Raw genomic sequence first — 19,018 nt, forward strand, 5'->3', positions numbered from 1 at the left:
GAATGTGATATCCAGGCAAGAGCTAAATATAACAAAATAAAGTCTGATTGATAATTTGTTCTGAAGTTGCGTCAACATTCATGTAGTTAAACTAGAGTTTATGGACAACTGAACATAATCATCTAGGGTTACACTGTCCAATATGGTAGCTACTAACCAGATCTGCCTACTGAACACTTGAAATGTGGTTTGTTTAAATTGAGATGTAACATAAGCAAAGAGTTCAAAGAAAAGAATGTGATATAATAATTTTTTATATTGAATGTATGCTGAAATAATATTTTAGATATACTGGATTAAATGAAATATATTATTAAAATGAAATTTTCACTTGTTTCTTTTTTTACTTTTTAAAATGTGCTTAAAACAAAATATTTTAAAAATCACATATGTAGCTCACATTTTATTTTATTTGGGCATGCTGGTTGAGAGCTTTCTATTAAGACAGACGTGGCTTTGAGTCCTGGCTCTGATCCACGGAAGTCATTTAATTTCAATAAGTCTCAGGTTCCTTCTTGAATAATAATAGTACTTACCATAGTGTTTTTATGAGGATTAATGGAGATAATGTTCGTAAGGTACTTGGTAAATTACCTGGCACAAAGGAAATAAACATTTAAATAAAAGCCTAAGACTAATATTCTGGAGATCTAGATTCTTTTGCCTACTAATCACTCAGGCAGCATTGAAGGAGTCACTTATTCTCTCTGGCTTACCCATGTATAAAATTATGTCACTTTAACCATGTATAAAATGATGGGTTTGTGTAGAATATTTACAATATTTACAGTATCTACTTGGGTAATTTGCATCACTTCTTTGTGAATCAGTCTCCTCATTTGGGAAATGATGAGGTGGATTACATTATCTCTGTGGTCCCTTTCAGCTTGAAATTCTGCAATTTTATAACTTAAATCAAATATGAAAACTTTGTCATTGCTGACAAAGCATTTCTAGCAGGTTTGACTATGGCAATGATTTAATTTAGATATGTTTCTCTTCCTGTCAAAACAGTGCGATATGATATATGCCACATCAAGAAGCCTTGTCCCAAAGACTTATTTCATAAAATAGGGAATTATAAAAGTGAATTTCAGTAACTAGCATCACCTCTGAGCCTGACCTAGTTACAGTCTTTCAATGTTTTACTGCCTACATCTGTGCAATGGGCCCAAAGAATTTGTCGGATATCTGATTATTGCAAAGACAATAAATGGTTGTGTCCTGTGGAGGAAAAAATAATTCCCATTTGAATACGAAAAACAAAGAGTATTTCTCATGAGCGTGTCTCTAAGAATGACTTCATAAAAAATGTAGCTATTTAAAAATATAGAGATGGTAACAGAAACAGATTTGTGAAATATCTCATGCTTCCAAGTACTTTGTATTTTTTTATGTACAACCTTTATATTTCCTACTGCCTGCCTTTGGATATCAGAAAGGAGAATTCTTATTTTTCACTACACACTTGATCTTTTGGTAATTTGATTCATGGGATTTTTCTGTTTGTAAACAATATTGCATGGGAACAAGTGACACACAATGTTTTTTACTGAGCATATCTCTTACTAGGCATGGGTGAACTTTGCAGAGCAGAATGGATTCTCAGCCCAGAGAGTGGGGATTATACATATAGGTGAGGTTGAATGATAAAAATAAAAAAAAATACAGTCACACCAAGAGCAGGAGAATGAGTAGAAAAGAGGCAGCAAATTCTTTGGATCTACAATATATCTAGCTTTATGTTCACTGTGTTCTTATGAGACGTCTTTCAAAAACATCAATGTTGAAATTTTGGTTTCACTATTGGGCACTTGCTATTTTTCTAAATTACTATAACCAAGAAATTGCCTAACATACTAAGAGTTATAGTGAAATTGTCTAGGAGACAAAATCCCACTCTTACCAGTAGTGTCCCTTTCTAAAGCAATTTATCCACATAAATTGGTTGGTCTTCAAATAATTGAAATTTAAATTATACTACAATGTCCCGTCTCTACCATGCCAGTTAAGTTGTAGTGTGAAACTTTGTAATGTATCACACTTTACAATTTTTCAATGTGTTTGTATGTCTTACTATATTTTATTATTTTTATCAGGATTAGAACTCAAAATCTTGGTTATCGTTAGTAGCAGAGTTGATCTGTAATGTATGACTAGCTTTGATAATATGGACAAATCCTTATAATAGAACTAGAAGGTGCTTGATGATTTGACACTAATGTAAAAGATTAAATTCACAGAAAATAAATGTAAGTATGACAAATCAATAGATGGAAAACTTTATAAATGTGGTTTCTAGCCATTATCAAAATCTGGAAAGATACAAACATTTTTTTAAATGTTTAGATAAACAGTGGGTAATATTCATAGGATGGAGCAAAATCTAAGTGACAATCCTGTGACTAGGAAAGAAGGAAATCGATCATGTGCCAAACACTACACTACACATTTTCATACATATTAGCTCATTACGCACTGATACTGTAAATAAGTTGCCAAACTCTTCATCAGTAAGCGGTGGGATAATAATTCTAAAACCAGCCCCAGCTGATGTTTCTTACATTTGAGAGCAGAAAGGAATTAACACAAAAGGGCCTCTGTGAATCTATTATCTGTAGTGACTATTATATCATAACGAACTTATTTGTAAAAATCCGCCTTGTAATGTTGGGGATTTTTAAGTTTAGAAATTCCTAAAATCCTGCTGCTGCATGACAATGGCATGCAGAAAATACAAAGAGTAGACAGCAGAACTAGGACAGTGGGTGAGCTCAGTGCAAGGAAGAACTTGAAAAAGCAAACAAGATCTCCACTTGAGATAATATGCTGTTCTCATGGAAAAAGAAACTGAGTGATAAGCCCTCAGGAAAACTGTAAACGGGTGGCCAACAGCATCTAAGATTGCTAACTCAATGGATTAGGGAAGGAAATTAATAGCAATGAGGAAATATAATAGCACAGATAGCTCATAATTTTGAGCTTCTTTTCCCATATTGCTCCCATCTGTCCTGCTGTTGCCCACTCAATGTCCAAAGCTAGTGTAACCACTGGGCAGCTGTGCTCTTAAGACAGAAGAGGTCTGCAGATCACAGGTCACTGCTGATATTTCCTTGTATCAAAAACAATGTCTAACAAGTTACACAAACTTTAATCATAGTAACCGTGATGCCCCAAGCATTGAGACAAATGCTGGGAGAAATTTTAAAATGTCCCTCACAGGGTTCATGGTCATGTGAAGGACATAGACATGAATAACCAATGGAAAAGTAACACACTTCCATAGGGGTAAAACTTAGGAAGCACTTAAATATTAATTCCCATATTGTCTTTATAAAACTGCTTAACTCCTGGAATGTCAGTAGTGTTAGGCCTCATTGCTTTTCTCTATGAAATGGATATGATGATAATGACTTCCCTTGCAGAATTTCTGTGTTGTATAAATGTACTGATATAATTCAATATATATCCACTCTCTATAGTCTTTATCAAGAGGAAAAAATTTGGTTGGGGGTAAAAAATGGAAGACAAAGAAATCTATCAAATATATTTTTATAAATAATCATTCAAACATTTCCTGAATAATTCCGCATTACTTAATTGAAAATTTAAAGTCCTTATCAATAATTTTAGCACATAAGTATATTTTTAAACCCCCTTTTTGCACAGATTATAACACTAAGAACCAGAAAAATCAAGAGAATTTCTAAAGGTTACTCAGCTAATAAGTGGCGGAGTCACGCTTGGGTTCAGACTTCTGACTCCTGCCTTGGTGCTCACATGCTTAATTTTGTATCTCAGAGTATTGGACTTGGCTAATGTCTTAGTCCATTCTCATACTGCTGTAAATAAATACCTGAGACTGGGTAATTTATGAAGAAAAGATATTTAATTGACTCACCGTTCCACAGGCTTAACAGGAAGCATGACTGAGAGGCCTCAGGAAACTTACAATCATGGTGGAAGGTGAAGGGGAAACAAGGACCTTCTTTACATGGTGGCAGGGGAGAGAGAGAAAGAGAGCAGGGGGAAGTGCCACACATTGTTAAACCATCAGATGTCGTGAGAACTTACTCACATTCATGAGAACAGCAAGGAGGAAATTCACCCCCATGATCCAATCACCTCCCACCAGGCTCCTTCTCCAGCACATTCGACATGAGATTTGGGTGGGGACACTAAGCCAAACCATAGTAGCTAGATTTGCCAGATTCTAAGTAGAAAAAGGATTATACAGAAAATGTTTACATCAGTTTTTTTGTCTGCTTAGCTTCTTTATACAATTTATTAATATAAAATACTGATAGCTGAGTGAAGTATGATATACCTAAAAATTGTCATTAAGTACTTCTGTATTTAAGCACATTTACAGAGAATTTTGTTACTGAAAGTGTAATCATGTACCTCCTAGGAGTTAGCAAAAAAAAAACCCCAAGATTAATATAATCGTATACAATATATTATTCCCTTTTAGGTTATCCAGATTTATTCCCATCAACATAAATGTATTCCTATAGATTACTGTGTATTCATGAATTGGATTTCTTAGGAGCATGTGAGCTCAGACAATTTTCTATATACACCAAAAAAGTCTTAGTCTTTGCAGTCATAGTCAATAAAGCAGTAATTTGAAATGTAAATCATAACATCTCTAAACAATATAATATAATGAATAAATATAAACATAATATAACCTACCTTTATTCAATTTAATCGGTTTGTTCTTGATTGTAAGTGAATGAGTTTGCTGGTTCCCCAAGTCCAAGTAGAAACTGTCTTACTCTGGTTCCGTTTTCCTTGAGCCACTGTGGTAAACCTTTTTTTCTGGTGCAGAAAACACACATACAATAAAACTAACATTATTGATGGACTCTTGATAAGGAAATTCCCTAAAGGTTAGCTGAAACTCAACCCCTTTCTTCACATTAAGAAAGCATATTGACATGAAAGTTGTATTTTTAAGTAATAAACTATCTCTCTATCTCATCTGTCTATCTATCTATCTAATCTATCTTTCTGGCTGTTTTCAAGCATCAGTATGTTAGGTATTATTAGTGACTCAATTTGTAACTGATCAGCTCTATCAAGGTATCAAGATTCCACTGGGATCACTCCTGCCTTAGAAGGGAGTAACATGGATCTGCATGGAGTGCAGTGGATTAGTCACTGAGGGGAACACATCACCTTCTGATGGCCAGATCTACAGAACACCTGTTATTATCTTGCAGTGCCTGGATTCGAAGTTATAGTTAACAAAGTATCATTTTGGGGGTGTATTTCAAAATTTTCATGTGTAGATCAATGTTCAGAACTTTTTAGGGTCCTGTTTCTATTGATTAATCTAAATAGTGTATACCTGTGTGTGTAGGGAGACCTAATGACAAATCTTCATCACTTAATTTTATCGTTTTGTTGATTCAGAGAGTCTTGAGTTCCTGGGATTGCTGCAGATTAAACTATGACACACTTGTGTAGAGTTAGTTAGGTCTTTGGCATCAGATAGACCAAATGGGGGTTCTGGCATGGCCGGTGGAACCCTGACCAGTGACATTTACTCTCTGTCTGCTTCCTCATCAGGAAGATGAGAAAGACGATTTTAAGGACCAAATAAGGTAATGCATATGAAGTTTTTTTTTTCCAAATTCTTGGCATGTAGTGTGCACTTAACAATAATAATAAGTGATGATTACATAATTCTACTAATTTACACCAGGATTTAATCAGCAAGGCAGCAAACACATATCTTATATTTGCCCTGTTTTGTTCTCCACAAAAGGTGAGATGTTCAAAGTGTATGATACTGCCAGCAGGTGCCTGTGCTTCATGCCTCACTAAAGGAACTTTCATGTGAATTTCAAAAGAAATTCCAAATGATATTCTTCTAAAAGAGAAATAGCTTCTGTGCATCACAACTGAGGAAGCCACTGATATACAAAATTCTACTTTCTGTAATACTGCTTTGGTATATTGATCGGTTTAACCAGCTTAACCTTTCTGAGTCTGTTACTCTTTTATAAATGTTGTTAGTGTTTGGTGTACTAGATGTTAAATGGATAGTACAGTGTATTGATTCTGAATCTAATTTTGGTTTCCAGCGTATTGAGGATAACTAAATCTGGCATTTAGAGCACTCCAATACTGCATGATAATTTTTTAAAATATTTTTTCCTGAAAAAAGACATTGTAAGCACATTTAAAGAGTTCCTAGTAAAAATTAAGTCTATGCAAATTTTTGTTATTGAAGATATCATTAGGCAGCATTGAAGAACTAAATTTATTCCAATAATCATTATAATGATGAAAAAATTCCTTGCTTCAATAATTGATTTATGCTTCATTTAAATGTACAGAGTAGTTCCAATATAATTTCTTATTAGCTCTAATGACGAATTTTAAAGTAGCATGGCTCTGAAATAAAGATGAAAATTCTCCATACAACTTATTGCATTTAAATGGAATTAATATTTAATATTTAAAAAATCATTTGATGTAAATAGCCATCATGAATCACTGCAAATATACTAAGATGTAATTAAACGCTTTTTTCTTTTCAAATGCATCTACTTGTTTCATAATAAATTATTTTTGTAATCTTTCTTCTTTTAAGCTGTGCTATTACTTTTGAAATTATTTTTAATTGTGAAATAGCATCAACTCTAAAAAAACAGCAAATTAAAATATCTCCTCCTAGGCAAATTCAAAATTGCTGAATTATTGTTTAACATTTGCTTTTATCTTGCAATTGTTTAAACCATGATAGTAAACACTCATTTTCTAAAACAGAAGGAAAATGGGCAAAACTTGGGGGAAAGGCAAGATCCTGTGATTATAAAGCTTTCACTGCATAAGACTGTGCACATAGAGAAACTATTGTTACCTAATTCTGTACTTGGCATTTTTTGGGGTGACAATATGTGTCATAAACTTGGTGGGGCAGGATTAGTATAGCTCCTATTGGCTAGATCCAGGAATCAGGCACCTAGGGGTACAGCGTTCAGAAGAGCTGCCAGTACATCTGGGAGTTCTTGAGGCTATTTCGTGGCATTGTGAAATTCAGAAGGCTGGCAGCGTGGGCTGTTATCAGATTCTCTTTGGCCCGTAAGGATCTGACCAATCTCTCTCTTTCTCTCTCTCTCTCTCTCTCTCTCACACACACACACACACACACACACACACACACACACACACACACACACACACACACAACAAATAAGAATTCGGGGGCAATCTCTAACTACTCTATGGAGAATAAACTTATTTTAAGTATATTACAAGACATCAGGACAGCAGCTCTTCTGCCTGAGTGGTAGTTCCTGAAGCACTCTGGACCCAGCTCTGTACACTTAGTATGTAGAGAGGAAAAAGTCATGATAAATGAGCCAAAAGTCCTAGTTTAGGTTCAATAACTCTCTCAAGGCCTCAGTTTTCTCATCTGTTATGTAAAATCCATGTCATTTTTCTGATAGATCCATGGAGTTCATAGACTGACGGTGTGAATGAATGCTTAAGTTAGTGTGACTAAATAATTTCATCATCTAAACCAGGACAATTTTGAGACTGCAGGAGGGAGATATTGTTAATTATACTGGTACAATATCTATAAACCAGGACCACCTGTGGCAAACAGGATCATATGTTTACTCCAGGTATAGCACTTTTAAAATTAGGAAGGTCTCTTTGACTGTAAGATGTGATAGTGGCAGTGGTGATAGTATTTGACTGTAAAGTGTGACAGTGGCAGTGGTGACAGTATCTAAAGCCTGGCTTCCAAACCCGATTTGACAAGGTATAGTGAGTCTTTCTGTGACATCAGAGGAAGGAATATGAACAGCATAACTTGTGACGTTGCCAATATTCTGATAATGAGGAGAACATACAGATAGCGATTTTATACTTTCTTCCCATAGTAAACTATGGATGACAAATTCTTGACTCCATCATCACATTCCAGCCATGACCATGTTAAGATATTTGTGTTATTCCCATCTGCCTTGAACATCCCCTCTAACCCATTCAGGAAACTAGTCTTTTTGGATGTCAAATATTTTCACTTCAGAAAGCTGGGTGCAGTGGCTTATGCCTGTAATCTCAACACTTTGTGAGGCTGAACAGGGAGGATCACTTGAAGCCAGGAGTTCGAGACTAGCTTGGGCAACAAAGACCCCATCTCGAGAGAGAGAGAGAGAGAGACAGAGAGAGAGACAGAGAGACAGAGAGCGAGAGAGCATGCTAATCTCCCTGACAAAAGTTCACAGTGCCCTAGAGGTCAGTTGCTTGAGAAAGACAGATTAGGCCAATTCCTTTTAGCATAATGGATTTGTGTAATGGCCTCCACTCGATACTATCAGGTATGGTTTGCAAGAGGGTACAATATTAAAATGAAATGGGTATTTTGAGAAAAGAATTCTTAATTAAATTTTTTAAAAATTTGAAATATCTTTATGCTTCAAAGTCTTATAGAATTTTTTTTTTTAGATTTATCTATACTGTTTGTAAAGCAATAATAAGCGAAGTTCTTTTCTACAGTTTTCCCTTCTATAAACCAGGCTTTCAAATAATGTAATCAGAAATGATGGATGTGAATATATTTGTATTTTTCCCAGTTTAATAGAGCTCATAGAGAAGAAAGGTTGTATGCTATTCTTCAAGGTTATTATCAGTTATCACTATTAATTTTGGCCAGGAAAATGAGTCTATTGAGTTGAATAATCTTGATGTTTACTTAGAGAAAATAATTTTTTATTGCTAAACTATCTTTCTTCTTTCTATCATGCTTGGAGATTAGAGAATAAGGAGAATAAGAATACTATATTTTTGTAGCTGCTTGATTTAATAATAGAGACAAAAAACTGTGGAAATTTGTGTTATTTAATCAACATTGTACAATCTGAAAAAAATCCTATCAGCTATATTAAGGTTCCCTTTTTTCTTCAAACAAAACTCTTTTTAAAGAAAATTTATTCTTTTATAATATTTTGTGTTAAGCTAATTGTTAGAATCAGTTAAATCAGGAAATTTTACTAAATAATGATCTAACTGGTTATAGGACCTTTATTCCTTTTTTTAATTTTTATTTTTTATTTCAATAGGTTTTGGGGGAACAGGTAGTGTTTCATTACAAGGATAAGTTTTTTAGTGATGATTTCTGAGATTTTGGTGCACCCATCTCTCACCATCTCTCACCCCTCTCCTGCCCTTTCCCCTGAGTCCCCAAAGTCCATTGTATTATTCTTATGTCTTTGCATCCTCATAGCTTAGCTCCCACTTATGAGTGAGAATACATGATGTTTGGCTTTCCATTCCTTAGCGACTTCCCTTAGAATAATAGTCTTCAATTCCATCCAGGTTGCTGCTGATGTCATTATTTCACTTCTTTTTACGGCTGAGTAGTATTCCATGGTGTGTGTGTGTGTGTGTGTGTGTGTGTGTGTGTGTGTGTGTGTGTGTATGTATTTATATATCACTTTTTCTTTATCCACTCATTGATTGATTGGCATTTGGGCTGGTTCCATATTTTTGCAATTGCAAACTGTGCTGTTATAAACATGTGTGCAAGTATCTTTTTCATTAATAATTTATTTTCCTCTGGGTAGATACCCAGGAGTGGGATTGGTAGATCAAATGGTAGATCTACTTTTAGTTATTTAAGGAATCTCCACACTGTTTTCCACAGCAGTTGTACTAGTTCACATTCCCATACAGGTTCTTTATTCCTAAGAATCTACAGGTGGTCTAAATTTAGGATTATCTGGTTCCACATAAGGAATATACAGTTTTTCTATTGCATACAGCAGGTGGTATCAACAAGAATAATTGCCTTAGCATATACTGAGTAAAGACTAATAAGAAGAAACTACATTACCAAACAGAAAGATGATATTCATTTCCTTGATGCCAAACTGCACAGACTTAATAACATTTTTTCACTAAAAAAATTTAAAATCATTGTATGTGATATATAGTAGAAATGGTAAGTTTAAAATCCAAAAGACTCTTCCTGGTGATTTCTAGGACTCAATTTTTCCTTTGATGTATATGCATAAAAATTATTCTCCAGCCATAGTGAAAACAATGCTGGAAGTATTTAGAGTTGTTACCTAAGTGATGCAAACACCGTTGGCCAATCTGGAAAGAGGAAACATTTCACTGACATTTGAAATTGAATTGGAAATTCCATGATTTTTTTAATAAAGAGTATTTTTTAGAGACAGTGTCTCATTTGTTTGCCTAGGCTGAAACGGGGTGGCACAATCACAGCTCCCTGAAGCCTGGAACTCCTGGGCTCAAATGATCTTCCTGCCTCAGCCCCAAGGTGCTGGGACTACAAGCATGAGTCACCATGCCTGGCCAACACTTGGTTTTTTTTTTGTAAAGGGGGTGACTATAGTGAACCACACATTTTATAAATGAGTACCATTTCAAATATGCATACACTCACTGGGTGCCTAAAGTATTTCCTATCCTTTTTGAAATTTCTTTTTTAAAACAAGTCATAGTGTATAACTTAAGGGCTTATCATCTCTTACTCTTTCTGAAAGGAAAAAAAAAACATGTGCACATAAATGGGTTTAAAATATGTTTGTTTTAAGTAAAAAAGAATGATTTAACATACAAGCAGCCAACAAACATGAAAAATGCTCAACATAATTAATTTTCAGAAAAATGCAAATCAAAACCACAATGAAATACCATCTCACATGGGTCAGAATGGCTATTATTAAAAAGTCAAAAAAATAACAGATGTTAGTGAGGATGCAGGGAAAAGGGAATGCTTGTACATTGTTGGTGAGAATGTAAATTAGTTCAACCTTCATAAAAAACCGTATGGAGATTTCTCAAAAAACTAAAAATAGTACCACCATTCAACAAAGAAATCCCATTATTGTGTATCTACTCAAAGGATAATACATCATTTATTTTAAATTAATAAATAAATAATCTATTTAAATCATTATATCAAAAAGACACCTGTACTTGAATGTTAATTGCAGCACTAGTCACATTAGCAAGATATGGAATCAACCTTAGTGTCCATCAATGGATGACTGGATAAAGAAAATGTGGAATATATACACCACAGAATACTATGCATCCATGAAAATGAATACAATCATCCCTTTTTCAGTAGCATAGATCAAGCTGGAGGCCATTATTCTGAGGGAAATAACTCAGAAACAGAAAATCAAACACTGCATGTTCTCACTTATAAGTGGGAGCTAAACAATGGGTAAACATGAACATATAGAGAGAAATAATAGACACTGGAGACTCCAAAAGCAGGGAGAGAGAGTAGAAAAATTACCTCTTGGGTACAATGTTCATAACTTGGGTGATGGGTACACTAAAAGTCCAGACTTCATCAATATGCAGTGTAACAAAACTGTACATGTACCCCTTGAATCTATGATTTAAAAAAAAAAATGATTTAGGACAGAGTTTTGTGACTTCAGTAATCCTCAAAATTTTGTTTACATCAAAGATGGTCATAATAAAACCGGATTTTACAATTGCTTCCTAATTTCAGCTGTATTATGCCATTAATCTACATACATAATCAGGGGGCATATCTTAGAATTTTTTGAGGTATTATGAATTATGAAAAGAAATGTAGCATATATTTAGAATGTGTTTGGTTCACAGATTATATTTTTATATTTTCTGCTCTTAGTTTTTAAAGTGTGAAGGTTCAACACCTCATAGTTTCAATACTAATAACAATAAAATTATATTAAATTTAGTCACTGCATATGTAGTCCTTTATTTTTTAGAAAACAACTGGGATTTTTGCTTTTATGGGGGGAGGAGCCAAGATGGCCGAATAGGAACAGCTCCGGTCTACAGCTCCCAGCGTGAGCGACGCAGAAGACGGGTGATTTCTGCATTTCCATCTGAGGTACCGGGTTCATCTCACTAGGGAGTGCCAGACAGTGGGCGCAGGTCAGTGGGTGTGCGCACCGTGCGCAAGCTGAAGCAGGGTGAGGCATTGCCTCACTCGGGAAGCGCAAGGGGTCAGGGAGTTCCCTTTCCTAGTCAAAGAAAGGGGTGACTGACGGCACCTGGAAAATCGGGTCACTCCCACCCGAATACTGCACTTTTCCGACGGGCTTAAAAAACCGCTCACCACAAGATTCTATCCCGCACCTGGCTCAGAGGGTCCTATGCCCATGGAGTCTCACTGATTGCTAGCACAGCAGTCCGAGATCAAACTGCAAGGCCCCAGCGAGGCTGGGGGAGGGGCGCCTGCCATTGCCCAGGCTTGCTTAGGTAAACACGGGAAGCTCGAACTGGGTGGAGCCCACCACAGCTCAAGGAGGCCTGCCTGCCTCTGTAGGCTCCACCTGTGGGGGCAGGGCACAGACAAACAAAAAGACAGCAGTAACCTCTGCAGACTTAAATGTCCCTGTCTGACAGCTTTGAAGAGAGCAGTGGTTCTCCCAGTACGCAGCTGGAGATCTGAGAACGGGCAGACTGCCTCCTCAAGTGGGTCCCTGACCCCTGACCCCTGAGCAGCCTAACTGGGAGGCACCCCCCAGCAGGGGCACACTGACATCTCACACGGCAGGGTACTCCAACAGACCTCCAGCTGAGGGTCCTGTCTGTTAGAAGGAAAACTAAAAAACAGAAAGGACATCCACACCAAAAACCCATCTGTACATCACCATCATCGAAGACCAAAAGTAGATAAAACCACAAAGATGGGGAAAAAACAGAACAGAAAAACTGGAAACTATAAAAAGCAGAGCACCTCTCCTCCTCCAAAGGAATGCAGTTCCTCACCAGCAACGGAACAAAGCTGGATGGAGAATGACTTTGACGAGCTGAGAGAAGAAGGCTTCAGACGATCAAATTACTCTGAGCTATGGGAGGACATTCAAACCAAAGGCAAAGAAGTTGAAAACTTTGAAAAAAATTTAGAAGAATGTATAACTAGAATAACCAATACAGAGAAGTGCTTAAAGGAGCTGATGGAGCTGAAAACCAAGGCTCGAGAACTACATGAAGAATGCAGAAGCCTCAGGAGCCGATGCGATCAACTGGAAGAAAGGGTATCAGCAATGGAAGATGAAATGAATGAAATGAAGTGAGAAGGGAAGTTTAGAGAAAAAAGAATAAAAAGAAATGAGCAAAGCCTCCAAGAAATATGGGACTATGTGAAAAGACCAAATCTACGTCTGATTGGTGTACCTGAAAGTGATGGGGAAATGGAACCAAGTTGGAAAACACTCTGCAGGATATTATCCAGGAGAACTTCCCCAATCTAGCAAGGCAGGCCAACATTCAGATTCAGGAAATACAGAGAACACCACAAAGATACTCCTCCAGAAGAGCAACTCCAAGACACATAATTGTCAGATTCACCAAAGTTGAAATGAAGGAAAAAATGTTAAGGGCAGCCAGAGAGAAAGGTCGGGTTACCCGCAAAGGGAAGCCCATCAGACTAACAGCGGATCTCTTGGCAGAAACCCTACAAGCCAGAAGAGAGTGGGGGCCAATATTCAACATTCTTAAAGAAAAGAATTTTCAACCCAGAATTTCATATCCAGCCAAACTAAGCTTCATAAGTGAAGGAGAAATAAAATACTTTAGAGACAAGCAAATGCTGAGAGATTTTGTCACCACCAGGCCTGCCCTAAAAGAGCTCCCGAAGGAAGCACTAAACATGGAAAGGAACAACCGGTACCAGCCGCTGCAAAACCATGCCAAAATGTAAAGACCATTGAGACTAGGAAGAAACTGCATCAACTAACGAGCAAAATAGCCAGCTAACATCATCATGACAGGATCAAATTCACACATAACAATATTAACTTTAAATGGAAATGGACTAAATGCTCCAATTAAAAGACACAGACTGGCAAATTGGATAAAGAGTCAAGACCCATCAGTGTGCTGTATTCAGGAAACCCATCTCACAGGCAGAGACACACATAGGCTCAAAATAAAAGGATGGAGGAAGATCTCCCAAGCACATGGAAAACAAAAAAAAGGCAGGGGTTGCAATCCTAGTCTCTGATAAAACAGACTTTAAACCAACAAAGATCAAAAGAGACAAAGAAGGCTATTACATAATGGTAAAGGGATCAACTCAACAAGAAGAGCTAACTATCCTAAATATATATGCACCCAATACAGGAACACCCAGATTCATAAAGCAAGTCCTGAGTGACCTACAAAGAGACTTAGAGTCCCACACATTAATAATGGGAGACTTTAACGCCCCACTGTCAACATTAGACAGATCAATGAGACAGAAAGTCAACAAGGATACCCAGGAATTGAACTCAGCTCTGCACCAAGCGGACCTAATAGGCATCTACAGAACTCTCCACCCAAAATCAACAGAATATACATTTTTTTCAGCACCACACCACACCTATTCCAAAATTGACCACATAGTTGGAAGTAAAGCTGTCCTCAGCAAATGTAAAAGAACAGAAATTATAACAAACTATCTCTCAGACCACAGTGCAATCAAACTAGAACTCAGGATTAAGAATCTCACTCAAAGCCCCTCAACTACATGGAAACTGAACAACCTGCTCCTGAATGACTACTGGGTACATAACGACATGAAGGCACAAATAAAGATGTTCTTTGAAACCAACGAGAACAAAGACACAACATACCAGAATCTCTGGGACGCATTCAAAGCAGTGTGTAGAGGGAAATTTACAGCACTAAATGCCCACAAGAGAAAGCAGGAAAGATCCAAAATTGACACCCTAACATCACAATTAAAAGAATTAGAAAAGCAAGAGCAAACACATTCAAAAGCTAGCAGAAGGCAAGAAATAACTAAAATCAGAGCAGAACTGAAGGAAATAGAGACACAAAAAACCCTTCAAAAAATTAATGAATCCAGGAGCTGGTTTTTTGAAAGGATCAACAAAATTGATAGACCGCTAGCAAGACTAATAAAGAAAAAAAGAGAGAAGAATCAAATAGACGCAATAAAAAATGATAAAGGGGATATCACCACCGATCCCACAGAAATACAAACTACCATCAGAGAATACTACAAACACCTCTATGCAAATAAACTAGAAAATCTAGAAGAAATGGATAAATTCCTCGACACATACACTCTCCCAAGACTAAACCAGGAAGAAGTTGAATCTCTGAATAGATCAATAACAGGATCTGAAATTGTGGCAATAATCAATAGCTTACCAACCAAAAAGAGTCCAGGACCAGATGGATTCACAGCCGAATTCTACCAGAGGTACAAGGAGGAACTGGTACCATTCCTTCTGAAACTATTCCAATCAATAGAAAAAGAGGGAATCCTCCCTAACTCATTTTATGAGGCCAGCATCATTCTGATACCAAAGCCTGGCAGAGACACAACAAAAAAAGAGAATTTTAGACCAATATCCTTGATGAACATTGATACAAAAATCCTCAATAAAATACTGGCAAAACGAATCCAGCAGCACATCAAAAAGCTTATCCACCATGATCAAGTGGGCTTCATCCCTGGGATGCAAGGCTGGTTCAATATATGCAAATCAATAAATGTAATCCAGCATATAAACAGAACCAAAGACAAAAACCACATGATTATCTCAATAGATGCAGAAAAAGCCTTTGACAAATTTCAACAACCCTTCATGCTAAAAACTCTCAATAAATTAGGTATTGATGGGACGTATTTCAAAATAATAAGAGCTATCTATGACAAACCCACAGCCAATATCATACTGAATGGGCAAAAACTGAAGCATTCCCTTTGAAAACTGGCACAAGACAGGGATGCCCTCTCTCACCACTCCTATTCAACATAGTGTTGGAAGTTCTGGCCAGGGCAATTAGGCAGGAGGAGGAAATAAAGGGTATTCAATTAGGAAAAGAGGAAGTCAAACTGTCCCTGTTTGCAGACGACATGATTGTATATCTAGAAAACCCCAGTGTCTCAGCCCGAAATCTCCTTAAGCTGATAAGCAACTTCAGCAAAGTCTCAGGATACAAAATCAATGTACAAAAATCACAAGCATTCTTATACACCAACAACAGACAAACAGAGAGCCAAATCATGAGTGAACTCCCATTCACAATTGCTTCAAAGAGAATAAAATACCTAGGAATCCAACTTACAAGGGATGTGAAGGACTTCTTCAAGGAGAACTACAAACCACTGCTCAAGGAAATAAAAGAGGATACAAACAAATGGAAGAACATTCCATGCTCATGGGTAGGAAGAATCAATATTGTGAAAATGGCCATACTGCCCAAGGTAATTTACAGATTCAATGCCATCTCCATCAAGCTACCAATGCCTTTCTTCACAGAATTGGAAAAAACTATTTTAAAGTTCATATGGAACCAAAAAAGAGCCTGCATTGCCAAGTCAATCCTAAGCCAAAAGAACAAAGCTGGAGGCATCACACTACCTGACTTCAAGCTATACTACAAGGCTACAGTAACCATAACAGCATGGTACTGGTACCAAAACAGAGATATAGATCAATGGAACAGAACAGAGCCCTCAGAAATAACGCCGCATATCTACAACTATCTGATCTTTGACAAACCTGAGAAAAACAAGCAATGGGGAAAGGATTCCCTATTTAATAAATGGTGCTGGGAAAACTGGCTAGCCATATGTAGAAAGCTAAAACTGGATCCCTTCCTTACACCTTATACAAAAATCAATTCAAGATGGATTAAAGACTTAAACGTTACACCTAAAACCATAAAAACCCTAGAAGAAAACCTAGGCAATACCATTCAGGACATAGGCATGGGCAAGGACTTCATGTCTAAAACACCAAAAGCAATGGCAACAAAAGCCAAAATTGACAAATGGGATCTAATTAAACTAAAGAGCTTCTGCACAGCAAAAGAAACTACCATCAGAGTGAACAGGCAACCTACAAAATGGGAGAAAATTTTCGCAACCTACTCATCTGACAAAGGGCTAATACCCAGAATCTACAATGAACCCAAACAAATTTACAAGAAAAAAACAAACAACCCCATCAAAAAGTGGGCAAAGGACATGAACAGAGACTTCTCAAAAGAAGACATTTATGCAGCCAAAAAACACATGAAAAAATGCTCACCATCACTGGCCATCAGAGAAATGCAAATCAAAACCACAATGAGATACCATCTCACACCAGTTAGAATGGCAATCATTAAAAAGTCAGGAAACAACAGGTGCTGGAGAGGATGTGGAGAAATAGGAACACTTTTACACTGTTGGTGGGACTGTAAACTAGTTCACCCATTGTGGAAGTCAGTGTGGCGATTCCTCAGGGATCTAGAACTAGAAATACCATTTGACCCAGCCATCCCATTACTGGGTATATACCCAAAGGACTATAAATCATGCTGCTATAAAGACACATGCACATGTATGTTTCTTGCGGCACTATTCACAATAGCAAAGTCTTGGAACCAACCCAAATGTCCAACAATGATAGACTGGATTAAGAAAATGTGCAACATATACACCATGGAATACTATGCAGCCATAAAAAAGGATGAGTTCATGTCCTTTGTAGGGACATGGATGAAATTGGAAATCATCTTTCTCAGTAATCTATCGCAAGAACAAAAAACCAAACACCGCATATTTTCACTCATAGGTGGGAATTGAACAATGAGATCACATGGACACAGGAAGGGGAACATCACACTCTGGGGACTGTTGTGGGGTGGGGGGAGGGGGGAGGGATAGCTTTGGGAGATATACCTAATGCTAGATGACGAGTTAGTGGGTGCAGCACACCAGCATGGCACATGTATACATATGTAACTAACCTGCACAATGTGCACATGTACCCTAAAACTTAAAGTATAATAATAGAAAAAAAAAAGAAATTTACTTGACCCATTAAAAAAAAAAAAAAGAAAACAACTGGGATTTTTGAGGGAAAAAATGCAAATTGCTGGATAGCAATGAATGCAGATTCACACTGTTCTCCACATCTCCTTACAGATAAGCTTACATTTAGTGAGAACTTACTGACTGCTGGGCAAGGTGCTCTGTGAGGATCCAACTGATCCTCAAGAACATTTGTAAAAGAATATAAGTAAATTATTATTCTAGGTTCTTACAAATTTTGGTTCCAATGTTCTATAGTTGTCTCATGCACACCTCAATGTACAGTGATTACATCTTGTAGAAAGCAATTTGTCTTTAGTTTACACATTCATAATTTCAATTATTAAAAAACTGAAACTCTCTTTACATAGTTGTACTTTATTTAATATATTTAATATATTTATATATTTAATTTTATATATTTAGTTATGGAATTGCAATAACTATTACTGGCATAAATAGGATTGGAAATGAAAATGCTGTTGGAAGTATGCAACTCAATTGGCATTCAACATCGCTGAGGACATCGGTCTATATGTTTTAAAGGGGAAATGAAGAATCTCCAATCTCTTCCCAGCTATAGGCTGTACAACTTTCTAGTTCTTTGTATATTTATTCTTAGAATATCTCTGAATGAAAGAATGCGTATAAATGCAAAGTAGACAAAAGGCAATGTCAAAATTACAGGCTGCTGGGTGTGATGACACATAATCTAAGTGTTGTGATTACGAATAACACGTGCTCATTAAAAATTATATATATATGTGAATATTCTAATGTGTTAATCTTTAAATATTTTGAGCAATTGTTATGTGTTTTTATACTTTTCTAAGAGTTTTCTACTGAAGCATCAAAAACATGTTGCAAATGTGTTAAGGGCCAAAATATATAACCAAATAAATTATGTTTCTTCATTCTAACATAATATTCTTAATGGTAAAAATGCTTAGGAGCCTACTCCAGAGCAATCTTTTATGTCATATGCTACATTAAAATGACATAATTAAAATATATTTCAACTGAGGTATATATTTTTGATTTGATAAAATAATTTGAAAGATGTCAACTCAAAACACATAATGCCAATTATTTTAGTAAAATAAAACAGAGGCAGTTTTTTTCTAATAAGAATATGCCTGGCCTGAAGTCACACCTTCTTGTGCATCTAACAGTATTCTCATTTTATCA

General features: G+C 36.5%; 1 long non-coding RNA gene across 1 annotated transcript in view, besides 2 other annotated features; it reads right to left on the reverse strand.

The window, feature by feature from the left end:
* LOC105370772 (uncharacterized) overlaps nt 1-11,396 on the reverse strand; it is a 63,650-nt gene extending 52,254 nt beyond the window's left edge. The window contains exons 1-2 of the long non-coding RNA XR_932115.3: nt 11,303-11,396; nt 4,699-4,824 (exon numbers count right to left, since the gene is read on the reverse strand). This is a non-coding gene — a long non-coding RNA (uncharacterized LOC105370772). The remainder of the gene's footprint in view (nt 1-4,698; nt 4,825-11,302) is intronic.
* Nucleotides 11,429-12,070: an enhancer, noted in NCBI's record as "NANOG-H3K27ac-H3K4me1 hESC enhancer chr15:37718991-37719632 (GRCh37/hg19 assembly coordinates)". NCBI's record gives its function as "activates a minimal SCP1, AML or CMV promoter by ChIP-STARR-seq in naive H9 embryonic stem cells {active_cell/tissue: H9 hESC(naive)}" and the evidence as "EXISTENCE:reporter gene assay evidence [ECO:0000049][PMID:30033119]".
* Nucleotides 12,071-12,710: an enhancer, noted in NCBI's record as "NANOG-H3K27ac-H3K4me1 hESC enhancer chr15:37719633-37720272 (GRCh37/hg19 assembly coordinates)". NCBI's record gives its function as "activates a minimal SCP1, AML or CMV promoter by ChIP-STARR-seq in naive H9 embryonic stem cells {active_cell/tissue: H9 hESC(naive)}" and the evidence as "EXISTENCE:reporter gene assay evidence [ECO:0000049][PMID:30033119]".

Source organism: Homo sapiens, chromosome 15, assembly GCF_000001405.40.
Source record: "Homo sapiens chromosome 15, GRCh38.p14 Primary Assembly".
Classification (NCBI taxonomy): Eukaryota; Metazoa; Chordata; class Mammalia; order Primates; family Hominidae; genus Homo; species Homo sapiens.